Source organism: Homo sapiens, chromosome 8 (assembly GCF_000001405.40).
Source record: "Homo sapiens chromosome 8, GRCh38.p14 Primary Assembly".
NCBI classification, from domain to species: domain Eukaryota; kingdom Metazoa; phylum Chordata; class Mammalia; order Primates; family Hominidae; genus Homo; species Homo sapiens.
In genome coordinates this window covers 129,396,593-129,416,354 of record NC_000008.11, presented here as the reverse complement: position 1 = coordinate 129,416,354, position 19,762 = coordinate 129,396,593, and the positions used below count along the sequence as shown (strand labels likewise).

The 19,762-nt window shown below is 38.8% G+C and overlaps 1 long non-coding RNA gene across 4 annotated transcripts in view, besides 1 other annotated feature; it reads left to right on the top strand.

Annotated features, from left to right (window-relative positions):
* CCDC26 (CCDC26 long non-coding RNA) overlaps nucleotides 1-19,762 on the top strand; it is a 328,546-nt gene that overhangs the window by 263,885 nt on the left and 44,899 nt on the right. Inside the window, exon 2 of one of the 4 annotated variants that reach the window (NR_130919.1) lies at nucleotides 16,671-16,824. The exons of 2 other annotated variants lie outside the window; for them this stretch is intronic. This is a non-coding gene — a long non-coding RNA (CCDC26 long non-coding RNA). Of the gene's footprint in view, nucleotides 1-16,670; nucleotides 16,842-19,762 lie in introns of all 4 variants that reach the window. One more of the 4 variants, NR_130920.1, reaches the window with a different exon arrangement.
* Nucleotides 338-632: a silencer, noted in NCBI's record as "tiled region #4396; HepG2 Repressive non-DNase unmatched - State 24:Quies". NCBI's record gives its function as "represses a minimal TATA promoter and a strong SV40 promoter by Sharpr-MPRA in HepG2 cells {active_cell/tissue: HepG2}" and the evidence as "EXISTENCE:reporter gene assay evidence [ECO:0000049][PMID:27701403]".

The following is a 19,762-nucleotide window of genomic DNA, read 5'->3' as shown; positions in this document are numbered from 1 at the left end:
ATGGTCAGTGACCCAGCTATTTCCAAATCATGTGAACCAATGATCATTTCACCCATAAGATTCTGCATGAGGACCAAATAGTAATTGAAATATTACTGAACATAGCTGAATAAGTGCTATATTACCTTCAGTGGAGGGTCCTCTGGTCAAAGCTGGAATGGAGTAGATGACTTAGAATCAGGGCTGACATGGTATCATATACTCCTGCTAGTCCATCCACTCACTGTGCTCACACACGCAATCCAACTATAAGGGACATTCATAAGGTGTCTACAGAGAAAGGGAAAAAGTCAGGCCCCATGAAAATCCCTGAATCCAAATACCCACCTGGCCAGCTGGAATGATGAAAGAGAGGGCAGAGAATAACAAACCAGCCATGAGTAGTCGGCACTGCCTTAGGTTTGAGACAGGAAGCCTAAAAGACAAGCAGCTCCTGAGCACTGTCATTTTAACAGTCACTACACATGACTACAACTGCACACCAACCTGTGGCTAAACTGACCTAAACTGCTTAGATTAGCCAAACTTTCTCACCAGTGCTGAATCCCTCTAAACAAACCACTTAAGATCCTCTCACCTTCGCTTGTCTTGAGACATTCGTTACTAATTTCAACCACACCACAGCTGTGGTAACCAGTTCTGTGTGGATTCCTACCAACTTCACACAGCACAATTCAACAGCACCTCAGCTCATGCTTCACCTCCGTTCCTCTTGCCTCCTGCATGAGTTCCCTTTTGACTCTGAGGCTCTGTGGAACACAGAGCTGAAGGATCAGTTCTTCCTTCCTACCGTGCACTGTACTGAGATGCAATTGTTCATACTGCCTCTCTTAGCACAGTCTCGAAAGATCAATCAATCATTTGTACTCCACACCAAATGGAGGCCGGCTCCGTAATGGTTTATTGGCTCTCTCTGTTTCCCTACATTAAGCTTTGGGGAGCTATGAAAGAAGTCTGGCATGGGTACAGAAGGCTCGATTACCCTCTCCCTAGAGAGGGTTAATTAATTAATGATGAGACCCAGATTTAATGGGGTCCTTGAACTTGTCTGTACATTAGAATCACCTGAGGATCTTTAAAAAATTCTAAAGCTGAGGCCATGCCTGGACCATCTCAGTTACAATCTTATAGGAGTAGGACACAGGAAGTGAGATTTTTTTTAAAGCTCCCCAGTGATTCCAATGTGTAGGCCAGCTAAGGAACCTTTGAGATAAACAACAGCAGAAATAAACAAAAATAAATAATTCTTTGCAAGTTTTAATCACGATATTATTGTTCAAAAATTTAAAAGAGAATATATGTTTACCATCTTTGTATATAATATCAGGAGAAATACACTGACTACTGACTTAAGAAAACTCTTTGGAAAGGAAATAAGGAAAATGCAAAAAGTCTTGAGCCACTGAAAGATAATTTCTGTCATTGGGCCTTTTCTCAGGGTAACCTTTGACATGGACAAAGAAGGAGCAGACTGAAAAATCTAAGTGCCTTAGGATGTCTGTGGCTTTCTTTAACATTTGTAAATGCCCATTTTTGACTCACCTCCTATATTTGACATTCAGGAAAGAAACCTTCATTAAAATCACTCGACAAGATCTTTTGCCTAGGTCATCTGCTTTCACGTTTCCATGGCAGCTGGCTGTGCTAAATAAGACATTTCAAAGCTGTGTGTCTAAGGAAAAAAAAGAGAACTAAAATAGAGAGTTTGAAGACGATATTTTATATTTGTGGATAGGTAGGCCTGGGAGGAAGAAAGTTCATTTTTTCCACTTTACTGTCTTTATGGAACTTTGAACCTAACTATAATTTGCCAAATGATTAATGCTTCGATCAGAGAATCCACTCTATTCAGAGATACTTGACTCTCCCACTTATACTGAGCTTGGAAATCAGCATAGAAGTGAAAAGAATTTGAGCTTTAAAGTCAGGAAAAGCAGGGCTCAAATGTAAATTATTTTCCTACTTACTAGTCTTGTAACTTTGTGCAAAAATTTTAAGTATTTTGAGCGTGTGGCCTCACTAGAAAAAATGGCAAGCACTAACATCCAATGGGATTGTTTGGAAGGCTACCTGAAATAGTGGTGACAAATTAGCTCCAAATGTAAGAAAACTAAACAATAGTTAGCTTTCTGCTCTCTTGTTTTCCTCTTTTTCCCATTTCCATGCCTCTTGAGTGACTTAATGAATTTGTAAAATTGTGATTGGGCAGTATGATCTTTGCATAATTAACTATGAAATCATGTCTGCTTTTTAATATTGCTTAAATTTTTTTTTAGCATTTCTAATTAATACATGCAGTAGGATATAGTGAAAAGAGCATAGTACCAGGCACAAATATTTTTGAATAAATGTATGAATGCATGCAAGAGTCGTATGGGGAACTTAAGAAACATGGGATCAAGTTCAATAACTACTAACCTGTGAGACATTGAACACGTTGTAGCCTTTCTCTGAGCCTCATTTTCCTCATCTTAAAGAAAATAAAGTTGAGAAAACTGCCTCTGCTGTTTTGCTCTGCTCTAAAATTCTGAGATTTAGTTAATATGTGAGCTCTATATTTCTTCCTACTGCAACTTGTTCATCCCACAGATAGGACACTCATCATGTACTGCAACTAAGTGTTTGCTCCCTGATTGGGCATGTCCTATCCTTGATATGGGAGGCACTAAGAGAAGAGGTTCTCAGGATAGACTTTGTTGAGCCACGCTGCCTTGGCATAATGCTAGATCCTCCACTTCCTAGCTGTGTGACCTTAAGCAAGTTACTTGACCTTTTTGTGTCTCAGTTTTCTAATCTCTCAAATGGGGTTGATGATGACGTGCATCTTTACCTTAAATGGTTTTTAGGATAATTAACTAGGTTAATACCTAGGAAGCACATGGCATGCTTAATAAATGTTAACTCTCAGTCTTAAGTTTTATCTTTCAGTCTGCAGCACTTAGCCCAATGTCTGGTGAGTACTAGACAGTAAATATTTGTTGAGAGTCTGAATGAGTTATTTAAAAATATGCCTGCAGAGTGTATGTGCCTTATACGAAGTATGTGATTTCTGGTATGAAAGAGTTGGTCAGATAATCAGGATTCCAAAGTTTCTGGCAATCTGGAAAACTCATGAGTTCAGAAGCTATGTTGGAGACCAAGAGTTTCTCACATCACAGCATATTACAAGATGGCATGGAATGAGTCTGTATGGAAAAGAAAGGCTTGCTATTCTGACTTATTCACTGTTTCACCCATTTTTGTTATATTTATCAGGCTTGTTTTGAGAAGAGTCTAAATTCAAGGAGGGAAAAAGAGTGTCTTAATTAAAAAGGAATAGTGGGGACATGTCTTTCTTGAATATGATATAATGTTTCTTCTCATTCCTAATCCTTTTCTCCCAGTTCATTTTGTTATCAGCTGCTAACAATTTATTCAAATCATCGGTGTCAATTTCCAGTATAAATATGAGTGTTAAGGAACACGCAGTTTGAAGGGGGTTAAAAAGTTTCCTTAAAAAATAACTTTATAGGCCAGCTTGGACAATATGGCAAGACCCCACCACTACAAAAAACAACAAACAATTAGCCTTGGTGTGGTGGCACACAGCTGTAGTCCCAGCTACTCAGGAGGCTGAGGCAGGAGGATCACTTTAGCCCAGGAGTTCGAATCTGCAGTAAGCTATGATTGCACCACTGCACTCCAGCCTGCGTGGCAGAGCAAGATCCTGTCTCAAAACAAAACCAAAAACAAAAAGAAAACAAAAAACAAACAAACAAACAAGCCTTTATAGAGATATATAATTCATAAAACATACAATTCACTAGCGCACAACTCAACGGGTTTCGGCATATTCGCAGAGTTGTGCAGTCATTACTATAATCAATTTTAGAACATTTTTAAGTCCTCAAAGGAATCCCACACTCATCTGCTGTCACTCTCTGTCTTATGCAATAACTCTGTAAAAATACTTCTTGCATCCCTTTATAAAGTACTCCGGGAATGTAATCTCTTAGCACGTCATTCGATATTTATTGAAACTATTATGAGCCAAATACTCTTCTAGGCTGTAGTGATAGGGAGACAACTAAACAATCCCAGCTCTCAGGGAGATTATGTTCCATAGCGGGGTCTACAGATGGGCCCCAAATTAAAAGCAAAGCAGAACAAAATCCATGTTAGTGACAGAAGGGAGCAGGCAAGTTATATTCCTACTATGTGCCAGGCTTTCTGCCAGATCACACTAGTAAGCAGTGGACTGGCATCTGCCTGATTTCAGAGTATACATACACACACACACACACACACACACACACACACACAGAAAGTATGATGGATAAAAACTCAGTTGAATTAGACTACTAGATATTTCACTTCAGCCAGCTGTGCAAAGCCTTGGATTTGCTGCCTCCCAAGCCAGCTCCTAAAACAATACTTCCTGTTGTTTCGAAGAAAAATGGAAAATAAACAACTCGAAGACTTTGGTCATCATCCACCAATGAACAGGATTTTCTGTCCTGGATACAGTTAGCTTAACCAATGGCATTTTTGTTAGCGGAATTATGAGGGTGGGAGTGGGGAGAGAAGAGTCAAAGGGTAATTAAAGTGACTTACATTTCTCTTTTTTCCTGTCATAATCCTGAGGATTTGAATTCTCTAACAAATCAAATTCAGTTTGAGTTTTAACCTTCTTACATGAAAAGCCAGGTTTAAAAATAGCTGTTCATGGTCTGATGATTGTAAACAAACATTGGAGTATGGAGTCGAATGAAGGGCAACAGACATTACATATCCCTGCAGGAATGTGGAATTTAATATAAACGGAGGAACTTTTATACATATGTGCTATGTCTTCGCTCTGTGTTGCCAGCAGAGTTCTTTGGGGGAAAGAATCATCATAAAATGTTAGAGCTGAAGAGGGTTTTAGAAATCACGTAGGCTCCTGCCTCATTTGAGAAATGGGGGAACTGAGACTAAGAGCAAGGAAGTGGTTGTGTATCTAGTTAGTGGCAGAGATAGGGGAAGAATTGGTTGTCCAGGATCTCTAGTGCTATTTAAAAAATATGGAACATTCATTCATATACCTGTGAGCATGTTTTCTGATTAACTGAGGTGCATAGGATAGGTCAGTGCAATGGGTTTGGGATCAGGGAAACCTGAATTTAAATCTCAGTTCTATAATTTACCACATGGTGAATTTGAAAAAAAATTGATTACGTTTGCTAAGCCTCAATTTACTTTTCTGGGAAAAATGTAGCATCTTCTATATCGAGATATTGGAATGATTAAATTAGATATATAAGCAAATCATTTAGCTCATAGTTGGTGTTTAATCAACACCCTCTTCATTCTTTACACTCTCTTCCTTTTCTCTTTATTCAAGATGTTTTACATACCTTTTCGAATTTCTTTCAGTCCTTCAGTAGACCCATTGTTACAAGTACTCCTGCCTTTGACAATGAGGACCAGAGCTTATCTTAAATCCAACTTAGTTGCTCTCATTTTTGGGGTACCTGCTACATTCCAGATACTTCATGGTCATTATTTCTTACTTTTATAACATCATTGGCACTTAGTTATTATTTTGTTCACCTTAGGGATGAAGAAAATTATGTTCAGGGAGGATAATTATGTTCAGGGAAGATACCACAGCTTGAAGTCAAGTCCTCAAAGTCTGAACTCATCTTTGTGCTTATACTCTCTTACCAGGGGTATGACTACAAACGTATTTATTTTTTTAAATTCACCATAAAATTCTGGGAAAAGTTTAGAGGTAGAAAAAATATTTATAATGGAGTTGGGGTGCAGAATTCAAATCACAGCTCTGCCCTATATCCGCTGTATGGCACAAGGAAGGCTACTTAAATTATCTCTGCTCCCAATTCCTCACTTGCAGGGGGTTAATAATAATAATTATAACAACAAAGAACATAGAAACAATGTGGCATTGAATGAATGAAAGATGATATGTGAAGCTTTTTTAGCAAAGTGCCAGCAATAAGTATCTCTCATGTATGTGACCACCTTGCCTTCTGTAAGCTTGGCCTGTGGACACTAGTTCACACTTCTTACAATGACTGCATGGAAGGGAAGCACTTCAGATTCTCCCCTGAGACGTCAGTCTTGATTTGACTGCCATCTGCTCTAGTTAAAAATTCAGGTAAAATGTTGACATTGGATAATGAAACTGAGGGATTCATTCATGCTTGTTTCCTTGATGTTTTCTAGACATGTTATTTTTAATTTAAGTCACCCGCTCCATGTTCCTTGGGGTTCCAGTGAAATTGCCTTGACAGACCAATAAGGGAGATATAATAAGGACAATTGGGAATGCCCTTTTATGAGGTAGAGTGAGGGTTACTATGGAGGACACAATTTACTATGTCACTCAGACCCTTTCTATGACAACCATCCAGTTTGATAAATTAATCTCAGAATTTAAAGCCATAAAACAACAACAAAAAAGAAATTGTTTCTCCCACTGAATCCATATGAGTATGATTTCTAGACAACAAGTCATATGATCCATCTTTTTTTCCTCTGTTTTCCCTGGTTTTCAGGAATATCAGACCTAAATATTGTGCATAACTATTGTATCTTTGCCAACTAACTCTCTGAATACAGTGTTTTTCTCTCTGCTCTTATCCTTTATAAAATATATTATTTTTCTTCATTTGAAAGTTTTCAATTTGACTGATTTTATTATAAGCTGCCTCAAGAAGCTTGTCAGATATAAAACAGTTAAGATGCAATTAATATCTATATCTATCTATATCTATATACCTATCTATAGATATCTAGGTAGATACACAGATCTACCTCTATAGTTAGGAAATACCCATTTCATCATTCTGGAACCTGAGATACCAAGTATGAGGAAAGAAAAGGTAAAATTGTAAAGATAGCAAAAATAACTACAATGAAAGAAGCACTTCTAAAATGTAAGTCAAGAGTAAAAAAGGTCACAGATTTTTCTGTAAGTACTCATTAAGAGAAAGATATAATTATTAGGACTACTACTAACAATATTAACACATGATCATATACTCTGCTCTGTCAGCTTACTTGTTATGAACTCTGTCCATAAAAATTAGCCCCTTCCTTTTCTCTTTCCTAGCCATCTTACCGATGGCTATTTCCGAGAGGCAGGAAAAGGAAAGAAAGCTGGAATCAATGTAAATGCTCTGAAATCAGAGATGCGGCCTGTCCTGGGCACCCTTATGACTCTTCACCCTGGGTAGTACCTGATGTGTGGTAGATGCTCAAAAAATATTTATTGAAGGAATGAATAGCAATGATGGCTCACATTATATTGTCATTATATAGCAGACATTGTACACATGGATTTACAGAGATAATCATATTTAACCCTCACAATAATCTTATGAGTAGAGAATTCACAGGACTGTGACTACTTTTTAGAGTTGAAGAAATTGAAGCACAGAGAGGTTGAATAACTTGATGTTAGTGGAGGGCAGGGAGTTCACATGCTCAGCCAGGGATGAAGGAGTAAAGGAATAAATGAACAAACAACCTCTGTGGAAAGCAGTATAGAGACTTCTCAAAGAACTGAAAAGAGATCTACCATTAGATTCAGTAATCCTACTACTGAGAATCTACAAGGAAAGAAATCATATCATTGAAAAGATACCTGCACGTGTATGTTTATGGCAGCACTATTCACAATAGCAAAGATATGGAATCAACCTAACTGTCCATCAAGGGATGATTAAAGAGAATGTGGTATATATACACAATGGAATCCCATTCAGCCATAAAAACGATGAAATCATGTCTTTTGTAGCAACATGAATGGAGCTGGAGGTCATTATCTTAAGTGAAGCAACTCAGAAATGGAATGTCAAATACTGGCTGTTCTCACTTACAAGTGGAAGATAAATAATGTGTGCACATGGACGTAGAGTGTGGAAAGGTAGACACTGGAGATTCAGAAGGGTTGGGGAGGACAGGCAGGGGAAGGGTGATGAGAAATTGGTTAATGGGTACAATGTACATTGTGCAGGTAATTGGTACACTAAAAGCCAAGACTTCACCACTACACAATATATGCATGCAACAAAATTACACTTGTACTCCTTAAATTTGTACAAAAAAGAATGTATTTCCTTTGTGACACCAGGTACAGACTGATTGAGGAGATGAAGTGGCTTGGGCTGACTGAAACAATACCAGTTATAAAGAGTTATGTAATATATATGGTCCCCAAGTTAATAACAGGAGGACTCAGTGATGGAAATTTCCATAAGAAGAGATGTTCCTGGAGGTGTCAGAAATAAAAATGAAGTTGTTGATAAAAACTGATGTGTTAAATTTTATTCAACATCTTCCTTATCAGCCTGGATTTTTACAGATCTGCTATACATGCATTACCTTTGGGTTTCTTCCATGCAATAGCTACAGATATGTTTTTTAAGTTCATTCTTTTCTGCTCTTGTCCATTGCACCATCTCTGTGAAATTAGAGAATTTTGGAGAAAGCCAAAATTCATTTCAGTGGTTGTGAACCTTGTATAATTCATTTATTTAGGGGCCAGTACGAGACATTAAAATTTAAGGTACGGATATAAAAATGAGTATAATTGTGTCTGGTTTGTGATTCCTTTCCATTCCGCTGCTCTGCTTTAGTTTTACTACCACTTAACTTTGTAGTGCTTTATTGGAGCTCTGAATACTGATCACTGCAGCATGTAGGCTTACAATGGAACAGCTGTTTACAAATACTACACAGCCTCAACATCATCCTTCTGTGCTATGCGGAGAACAGAGTGTCATTTAGAAAAGGAGGGTTAATTCAGAGTCTCATCGTCCTCACTGTTTGAGGGACATTGTTTGCAGGGAACAAATGGAACTCACTGCAACCCTGCAAGTACTCCCATCTCAGTCACTTTGCTCTAGAGCCTCTGTCATCAGTAACCCAACAGAACATATTGTGTAAAAACATCTCCTATTCTTTCAGATCCCCAAGCCATCTGGCAAGGCTTTTGTCTACTGCTTTCATAAATGGAAGGCTGGCTCGTGAGCAAATTGTCTTGGAGGAAAGCAGCTGACAACACGAAAGGCTCCTAGATCACTTGCTCTATTAAATGAGATAACATATGTGAAGGTACCTAGCACAGAGCCTGGCAGAGCAGAGAGTGGAATTAGTAGTGGGATGGATGGGGAGGCATCTTTGAAACTTCATAACATTAAGCACAAAGATGAACAGCTTCTCACTGAACCGTACAGACCTTCCCTGTAATGATACGTGCTCAAAGTTCCGTGACAATTTCGATTTGCAGCAAGGTGACAGGGTTAAAACCTCAGGTCTATTGACCTTTAATTTATAAGGAGGGCTAGTGCCATTTCTCCACAGCCATCTTTTTCTGATACTAGAAAAAGAGTCACATATGAAATGAGAAGTTTTCTCTAACATCAAGACACGAAACTGATTTATCTTTTCCACAATGTAGTTTCCTAAAGTGATCCTGGATTCCTTTAGGTACCTCAACTGTGTGCAGGGAGGTGATATATATATGCATTTTTTTGCCATTTTCCAGAAGAATGTTCTCTATGGTGCTAATGAGGTGCTCAAATAAGGTGTGCCTGAGGGAGCACTTTCCACCCACCTGGCTCAGGCAATCTGTTCACTCTGTCCTCTCTTGGTAACAAATGAAGGCAACCACAGCCACCACTGGGCAGATAGGAAGCTTCCCTGGCTTAATCTGTTATTAACTGGTGAAGGTGCCAAGCAGGAACTTTCATAGAGAAGCTGCCATGACAAATTATATAGAACACAAGTTGTGGAGTCAGAAAAAGCTAGGTTTGAATTTTGGGTTTCTCTGATAATTAGCTGTGGTCTTTGAGTAAGTCTATCAGCATGTCTGAATCTTCCTTTGCTTACATATAAATAGAGATGATATTACCTATGCTCTAAGGGTGTAGTCAGATTAACCAATTTAACTCCTATGTAATAGATGCTGCTTGGTGCCCTGCCCAACTCCCCTTTAGGGGAGGGGCAGGTGCCCATCTGCAATTCTTATAACTTCTGGTTGCTAGCAGCTCACAGGAACACACCTCTGCACTCTGTTAAGGTGAACCACCTTGTCTGGAAATTTCCGAAATGTAATTCACTCTTCCTGGGTTTGGAGGTTTACAGGAGCTTGTAACTAATAACTAACTGATTTGGGGGTTCAAAATGCCTGATATGGTTTGGCTGTGTCCCCACCCAAATCTCATCCTGAATTGTAGCTCCCATAATTCCCAGGTGTTGTGGGAGATAATTGACTCACGGGGGCAGTTTCCCCCATACTGTTCTCGTGGTAGTGAATAAGGCTCATGAAATCCGATGATTTTATAAAGAGTTTCCCTTTTTGCTTTGCTCTCATTCTCTCTTGCCTGCTGCCATGTAAGATGTGCCTTTTGCCTTCCACCATGATTGTGAGGCCTCGCCAGCCACGTGGTACTGTGAGTCCATTAAACCTCTTTTTCTTTTCTTTATAAATTACCCAGTCTTGGGTATGTCTTTATCAGCAGCACAAAAATGGACTACTACAATGCCAAGTCTCTTGCTTTTAGGTGGGACGACTCTGTGATGTCATTCCTACTTCAAAGCTTCCCATCAGGTCAGGCTGAGGTGATACCTCCCCTGAACACACCTCTTTGCCTGACTTTTCCCCTTGACATTTTCTGATAGCACTTTCCACATCAGTTGGAATTCCCATCTCAGGTTCTGCTTCTAGGGAACTTGACAGAGACAGCTTGTAAAGTGTCTGCCATAAGGCAGCTACTCAAAGATTGCTAGTTCCCCTCTCCTTCCACCCTCTTCTCTAGCAACTGTTTCATTTTGTACTAGATTCATTTTGCCTGTGTAAAAGTTACTGTAAAATAAAGTTAAAACATTCTACGTAAATAAAGGGTACTTTAAAAAAGTAAAAAGGCAGGCCACAAATTCTGTAAAATTATTTACCATGCAAATAATAAAAGATTTATGTCCAATATAGAGAACTACAAGAAAGGAAAAGCCAGTAAAAAAAGGAGGATGTGGTCCATTGGTTCACAGAGGAGGAAACTGGAATGGCCAACACATACATAAGCAATCTTTAATCTTGGTAGGAAAAAATGATATTTGAATCCATTCCACAGGCAAAATGAAAGCATCCAATAATATTAGCATTGGCAAAAACATGAAGCAACATAAACACTTCATACTCACTGGTGGGGATGCTATTTGGTTCCACCATTTTGGAGAGTCATTTCTCAATATCTGCTAAGTTTCAGAATATGCATATTTTACAATTCATCAATTATATTTCCAAGAATTTGCCACACGTATTTGTCACACATATACGAGAATTTTTCTCGTACTTCACATTACTTTTTAAAGTGAAGCAAACAGGCTAACTAACAAAACTTAGAAACAGCCTTAATGCTCATTATTAGGAGAATGAATAAAGCAATTTTAGTGTATTTGTGGCATAAATACCACAAAGCTCTAAAAATGGTTGAATTGGAAAGATATATATCAATATGGAAAATCTGGGAAACATAACGTTGAGGAAACAATACAAATTGTAGAAGGACAAATCATTATTATCCCATTAATTATTTTTTCAACTCAACAGTTCTATTTATTTTTAAATGAATACTCACAAATATTGTAAAAGTATACAAACACAGACTTCAAGGTGGACACTAACTTCACAAGACACTAACTGGGAAAAGTAGAAAGGATTATTGGCTGGTGTTGGGAGAGACATGGTTTCAAATGTATTGATAATGTTTTAGTTCTTAAACATACTACCATTCTGAAGCAAGTATAGGAAAATGTTAAAGTGTTCTCTATCTGTAAGAATATAAGAGTTTATTATTTTTCTTTAAGCTTTTTCTCTGTGTTTGAAAGATTTTATTAAAAAATAGAATGAGGCCAGGCATGGTGGCTCAGGCCTGTAATCCCAGCACTTTGGGAGGCCAAGGTGGGCAGATCACAAGGTCAAGAGATTGAGACCATCCTGGCCAACGCAGTAAAACCCCACCTCTACTAAAAATACAAAAATTGCCCTGTCGCGGTGACTCACACCTGTAATCCCAGGACTTTGGGAGGCAGAGGCGGGTGGATCACCTGCGGTTGGGAGTTCAAGACCAGCCTGCCACCACCATGGAGAAACCCCCATCTCTACTAAAAATACAAAAATTAGTCAGGTGTGGTGGCGGGTGCTTGTAATCCCGGCTACTTGGGAGGCTGAGGCAAAAGAGAATTGTTTGAACCCAGGAGGTGGAGGTTGCAGTGAGCCGAGATCACGCCACTGCACTCCAGCCTGGCAACAGAGTGAGACTCTGTCTCAAAAAAAAAAAAAAAAAAAAAAAAAAATTTCAGACCTTGCTTGGCTAAGTCCCCCTCCTGTCTACGGCCTCTCCAAATCTCGTAAGTCCTAGGTCAAGTTCCACCTCTTCCATGGAACTTTCTGGATGACCACAGACAGCTCTGATTAAATCCCTTTATGAGAGCCACAGTGGTATTTACCCCCTTTGAACAAAGACTTGATGGCGATAAATTTTGTATTTGCCTATGCATTGTCATCTTTAGTGCTTGAAGTGTTTAAATAATTGTCTAACATGTTTCTTAGCCTGGAGGAAGTCTGCAACTTCCATGTTTCTCATAAAATTCTCTCACAAATAACCTTCCTATATTTATCATAAACTATGCTTAGCATAAATTTTACTCAATAAATTAATTTTTAGTAATTTTAATGTTAATCCAGCATATTTTATTTTAGTAATATTTATGTGCTATTCTTTGAAAATACAAAAAGAGGACATGGGTTACTCTCAGCGATACCACAGCCTGGCTGAGATAAATGGTAGCATGTGTGTGTGTTTCTTTCTATATTCTTTCAGCTTGCCAGCCAACACATATTAAACACTAACTCTGGGCCAGTTACTCCAGTTGAGACCAGGGTAGAATAAAAATTGAGGGCAGGCATATTTTACTTGTATCTATGATCATTCCTGATTTGAACTAAAAGTTGAGACTCAGGGTGTGACCAAAGACTTCTAGGGCATGTCTGATAAAAAGGCCATTGGAGATTTAGCTTGTAAATTGAATTATTGTAATTTTAAGAACATATGAGTGACACATAGGATTGCCATAAGTCATGAGCCTGCCCCCAAAAATCTGGGTATAGTAATCATGTTGTACATTAGCTGGAACTAATTTTCTCTCTGTTTATTTACCATTGAATCTTTTATTTACTCATTGAAACGAAGTTTCGCTCTTGTTGCCCAGGCTGGAGTGCAATGGCAAGATCTCGGCTCACTGCAACCTCTGCCTCCCAGGTTCAAGTGATTCTCCTGCCTCAGCCTCCTGAGTAGCTGGGATTACAGGCATGTGCCACCACACCTGGCTAATTTTTGTATTTTTAGTAGAGATGGGGTTTCTCCATATTGGTCAGGCTGGTCTCGAACTCCCGACCTCAGGTGATCCACCCACTTCAAGCCTCCCAAAGTGCTGGGATTACAGACGTGAGCCACAGCGCCCAGCCAGAAATCTATTCTTTAGTAACAACACTGAATAATAATTGTTGATAACCATTTCATCAAAGGCATATTTTTCTTTGGAAGTGTGACTTCTAAAACTATAGCATTAATGAACTCTTGACCTTTTAAATAGCCTTCAGCTGACCCTTCCAGGAATCATTAGGAAAACTGGATAACTTTTACTATCCCTATATTATTAAGGAGGAAACTGAGTTTCGGATAGCATTGATGACCTGGACAAAGCCACACAGAAGAGCTGAAATGAGAACCAAGAACTTCTGACTGTTAGATTAGAACTTGTTATACTCTATTCTCTTTGTGTCAGAAATCTCAGAGAATAGGGGATTTAGGGCAGGGTCTCTCAGCCTTGGCATTTTTGATATTTTGTGCCAAGTGATTTTTTGTTGTAGAAGAGGGTACCTGTTAGATGTCAGTAGTATCTTCCAAGTTGTGACAATCAAAATTGTGACTAGATATGGCCAAATGTCCCTGGAGGGCAAAATCAACTCATGGTTCATAAACCCTGCCTTAGAGCATTGCTTGACATAATTTTAGTTTATTTATTTTTAATTTTTTCAACTTTTAATTTCAGGGGCACATGTGCAGGATGTGCAGGTTTGTTACACAGGTAAATGTGTGCCATGGTGGTTTACTGCACAGATCATCCCATTACCCAGGTATTAAGCCCAACATCCATTAGCTATTTTTGCTGATGCTCTTCCTCCCCACCAGCCCCTCACAGGTTCCCAGTGTGTGTTGTTCCCCACCATGTGTCCATGTGTTCTCATTGATCAAACATGTGGGTGTTTGGTTTTCTGTCCCTGCGTTAGTTTGCTGAATATAATGGTTTCCAATTCCATCCCTGTCCCTGCAAAGGACATGATCTTGTTCCATTTTACTGCTGCATAGTTTTCCATGGTGTATATGTACCACATTTCCTTTATCCAATCTATCATTGATGGGCATTTAGGTTGATTCCATGACTTTGCTTGTAAATAGTGCTGCAATGAACATACACGTGCATGTATCTTTATAATAGAATGATTTATATTCCTTTGGGTATATACCCAGTAATGGGATTGCCTGGTCAAATGGTATTTCTGCCTCTAGGTCTTTGAGGAATCACCACACTGTCTTCCACAATGGTTGAACTAATTTACATTCCCATCAACATTGTAAAAGCCTTCCTTTTTCTCCACAACCTTGCCAGCATCTGTTTTTTTTTTTTTTAACTTTTTAATAATAGCCATTCTGATTGGCATGAGATGGTATCTTTTTGTGGTTTTGATTTGCATTTATCTAATGATGAGTAATGTTGAGCTTTCTTTCATATGTTTGTTGGCTGCAAGTATGTCTGCTTTTGAGAAGTGTCTGTTCATGTCCTTTGCCCACTTTTTAATAGGGTTGTATTTTTTCTTGTAAATTTGTTTAAGTTCCTTGTAGATTCTGGATATTAGACCTTTGTCAGATAAATAGATTGCAAAATTTTTCTTGTATTCTGTAGGTTGTTGTCTGTTCACTCTGATAATCATTTCTTTTGCTGTGCAGAAGTTCTTTAGTTTAATTAGATCCCATTTGTTAATTTTTGCTTTTGTTGCAATTGCTTTTGGTGTTTTTGTAATGAGATCTTTGCCCATGCCTATGTCCTGAATAGCATTGCCTAGATTTTATTTTAGGGTTTTTATAGTTTTGGGTTTTACATTTAAGTCTTTAATCCTTCTTGAATTAATTTTTGTATATGGTGTAAGGAAATGTTCCAGTTTTAATTTTCTGCATATGGCTAGCCAGTTCTCCCAGCACCATTCATTAAATAGGAAATCCTTTCCCCATTGCTTGTTTTTGTCAGGTTTATTGAAGATCAGATGGCTGTAGGTGTGTGGCCTTATTTCTGAATTCTCTATTCTGTTGCATTGGTCTATGTGTCTGTTTTTGTGCAAGTACCATGCTGGTTTGATTACCATAGACTTGTAGTATTATTTGAATTGGGGTAGCCTGATGCCTCCAGCTTTGTTCTTCTTGCTTAAGATTGACTTGGCTATTTAGGCTCTTTTTTGGTTCCATATGAATTTTAAAATAGTTTTTTTCTAATTCTGTGAAGAATTTCAATGGTAGTTTAATGAGAATAGCATTGAATCTATACATTAATTTGGGCAGTATGGCCATTTTCACAATATTGATTCTTCCTATCCATGACCATGGAATGTTTCTCCAGTTGTTTGTATGCTCTCTGATTTCTCTGAGCAGTGGTTCGTAGTTCTCCTTGAAGAGGTTCTCAACTTCCCTTGTTAGCTGTATTCCTAGGGGTATTTTATTCTTTTTGTAGCAGTTTTGAATGGGAGTTCATTCATGATTTGGCTCTCTGGTTGCCTATTGTTGGTGTATAGGAACGCTAGTGATTTTTGCACATGGATTTTATATCCTGAGACTTTGCTGAAGTTGCTTATTAGCTTAATACACTTTTGGATTGAGATGATGAGAGTTTCTAGATATTGAATCATGTCATCTGCAAACAAAGATAATTTGACTTCCTCTTTTCCTATTTGAATATCTTTATTTTTTCCTCTTGCTTGATTGCCCTGGCCAGGACTTCCAAGACTATGTTGAATAGGAGTGATGAGAGAGGGCATCCTTATCTTGTGCCAGTTTTTAAGAGGCATGCTTCCACATTTTGCCTATTCAGTTTGATATTGGCTATGTGTTTGTTGTATATGGCTCTTATTATTTTGAGGTATGTTCCTTTAATACCTAGTTTATTAAGAGTTTTAAACATGAAGGAATATTGAATTTTATTGAGGGCCTTTTCTGCATTTATTGAAATAATCATGTGGTTTTTGTCTTTAGTTCTGTTTATGTGATGAATCACATTTATTGATTTGTGTTTGTTGAATCAACCTTCCATTCCTGAGGATGAAGCCAACTTGATCATGGTGGATAAGCTTTTTGATTAGTTTTTTTTTTTTTAATGCCTATGTAAAAAGACAGTAGGAAATGCTCACCAAACCTGAGCACAAAGCAAGATGGCAGACCCCAGCCTCATTGAAGTAGATTAGGATCATATAATGTGTTCTGACCTATGGAATTTGAGACGTAAAGTCAACCACTTCCACTCTGGTCATTATTTCCCTGAGTGATCCTTTTTTCTCCCTTTCTATTTTGCAGCAAACTTGGAAATCATGTCTTAGAGATCAAGGAGCCAAGAGATGAGACAAGCCTGGGTTCCTAGGTGATAGGGTGTGGCTGTGTCCCCACCCAAATCTCGTCTTGAATTGTAGCTCCCATAATCCCCACATGTTGTGGAGGGACCCTGTGGAAGGTAATTGAATTATGGAGGTGGGTTTTTCCCATGCTGTTTTCATGATGGTAAATAAGTCTCATGAGATCTGATGGCTTTATAAGGGGCAATTTCCCTGCACACATTCTCTTGCTTGCCACAATGTAAGACATGCCTTTGCTCCTTCTTCACCTTCTGCCATGATTGTAAGGCCTCCCTGGCCATGTGGAACTGTGAGTCCATTAAACCTCTTTTTCTTTATAAATTATCTAGTCTTGGGTATGTCTTTATTAGCAGCGTGAGAACAGACTAATACATTGAGTAACTGGAGATTGCAGAGCACTAGCCAAACTACATGGGACTGTGACTTGAATGAGAAATAAACTTTCACTGTGTTGAAACAACAAAAATTGAGAGATTGTTTGTTATAGAAGTTAGCATGCTGCAAGTATTAGAATGACTTTTGTGTTATTTTTCATATCTTAATGTCTCAATTTTAATTTTAATCAAAATAATGCATAGATGTAATAGAGGTCAAATATAATTAAACATTTTAAATAATTATCTCTTGTGCCACAGATTACTTTCTGATAGTTGAGGACTCAGATCTTTCATCCCCTTCCACAATCTATCTTTCCCATATCATACTAACATGTGTTTTCTCCTATTGTAAGTATGCGAATGGTTTTGCTGCTAAAGCAGAAGTGCGCAATAAACTTATCTCCGTACGCATAACCTTTTATTCTTATGTATAACCTTTTATTCTTCCCTGGTCACTGACTCTCTCTAATCCTGTATCATCTTCCCACATTGCCTTGGTTTTCCTTTGGTCCCAGTATGATACACATATGATATATAATGTATCATATATGTATATATGTGTGTATATACATATATATACTATATATATGCATTTGTATATATGTGTGTGTATTTATATGTGTGTGTGTGTGTGTGTATATACACACTTCTTTTCTGAAGGCCAGAACATCTGTACTACAGGCCTACTTATAAGCTCAAAACATCAATTAAAAAAAATTTTCAAGACCGCTCTCCCTAAGCCCCTTGTTTCGCAGTAGAATTTGGATTATTTCTTCTTAGGCTAGCTACAGAGATATCTTCCTAAGATTTCTCTACACTTTCAACTTATGTGGGATCTCCTGTTTTGTGGATCCCACATCTTTCTTTTCTTGCTTGTGTTTACCTGTGTACTCCTGCATCTCATTGAGTTTCTTTAACATAATTATTTTGAATTATTTTTTAGGCATTTCATTTTTTTTTCCTTTGGGATCTGTTACTGGAGAATTATTTTATCCCTTTGGAGTCATCATCTCTTCTTTTTTTTAGTGATTCTTGTGTCCTACATTCATATCTGTGCATTTAGTGTAAAAGTTACTTCTTCCAGTTTTATGGATTGGTTTTTGTAGGGACTTTTTCCTGTAGATGTATCTATATTATTGGTGGGGTAGGATGCTTTGGCTTTGATTCTGGGTGGGCACAGTAGTATCATCTCTGTATGATTTATTCACTGTAATCAGTTTCAGTGGTGTCTGTAAGTTTCTCAGTGGCTTAGGCTGCAGTTGTAAATGGAGGCTATGGTGAGTCTTTTCTGGGGAAGAGGACACCAGATGGATGGTCCTCGGGCACCAATGGTGTTGGTAGAGGGCCAGCCTTCTGGTCCTTGAGTCCTTGGGCATCATACTTGGGAGCCAGTGGTGGGTCTGGATGGGCCAGCCCTTGGGCCTCCTGGCAGCATGGTGGGGTGCCAGCAGCAGGCTGGGCATGCAGGTACTTGGGCCCCCAGGCAGCCTGTGTAGTGTTGGCAGTGGAAATAATGGCTGCAGGACAACCTTTGGGTCTGAGTCACAGGTGGTGGTGGTGGGCTGGAAAGATCAGTTTCAGGGCCTCCCAGAAGATGCATGTGGGTGCCAGTGTTGGGCAGAGTAGGTATGTTCTTGTGCCCCTGGATGGCATGTGCATGTGCCAGTGGCAGCAGGCATGGTGGACCTATCTCTAGGCTGTAGGACAGCACATGCAGGTGGTAGCCATGGGCAGAACAGGCCTGTCCTGCAGTTCCTGGAAGGCATGTGTGGGTGCTAGCAGTGGTAGGGTGAGTCCCCAGGACCCCAGGTGACATGTGTGAATGCTAATGGAGGCGGTGGTGGCAGTGGTTGGGGTGGATCTATCCTCAGGTCCCCAGAGGGCATGTGCAAGCACTGTCAGTGGTGAATGGGGCAGGTCGATTCCCAGGTCCCCAAGACCTGAATTATTTATTATGACTAGATATTAATTTTGAAGAGCTCTGTATTTTTCTCTGAGTGTTTTCTTTTTAGTGGCAAGCTGTTCCTGTTTCAAGGAACCAATATATTCTATGATCTTTTTCCAGATAGTCTATTAGAGTACCAGAGGTCAGTATTTAGACTTTCAGTTAATTCTCTATTTAAATAATCTTACCCAGCCCTAGTTTTGCCTGATGGTCTGGAGTCCAGAGTGATCCTCTTTGGTTCGGTTATCAGCCTCTGGTCTTCCTTAGCATAAGGTGGGGGATCCTGAAGGTTCTACCACACTATATTCACTCTTTCCTCCAGTTTTCCTGTATTTAGAATAGAACTAAAAAACCCAGGGCTTTTATCATTCCTGATGCTTGCAAATGTTGAGCCAGGAATTTTACAGGCCAAACTGGCCCACTTATTGGTAGTATTTCTGTCTATATGCAGTTAAGTTGTAACTTTCTCTAATCTGCGGAGTCAGATAGTATCTGACTCCTCTACTCACCTTCACTTTTTCCAGATCTTAGCTGAAATTGCTGATATATTGTTGATTCCTTTCTTGATCAATTTGTCTTGTGTTCCTTTGCTTTCATTTTGTCTGGGTTTTGTGAGAAATGAGGGATGTTTGTAGTCTATTGATCATTTTTAACCTGAAGTCCCCCTCAGGAATATAACTTTTTTGATTTACCTTTTAATGCAAAAGAGATCAT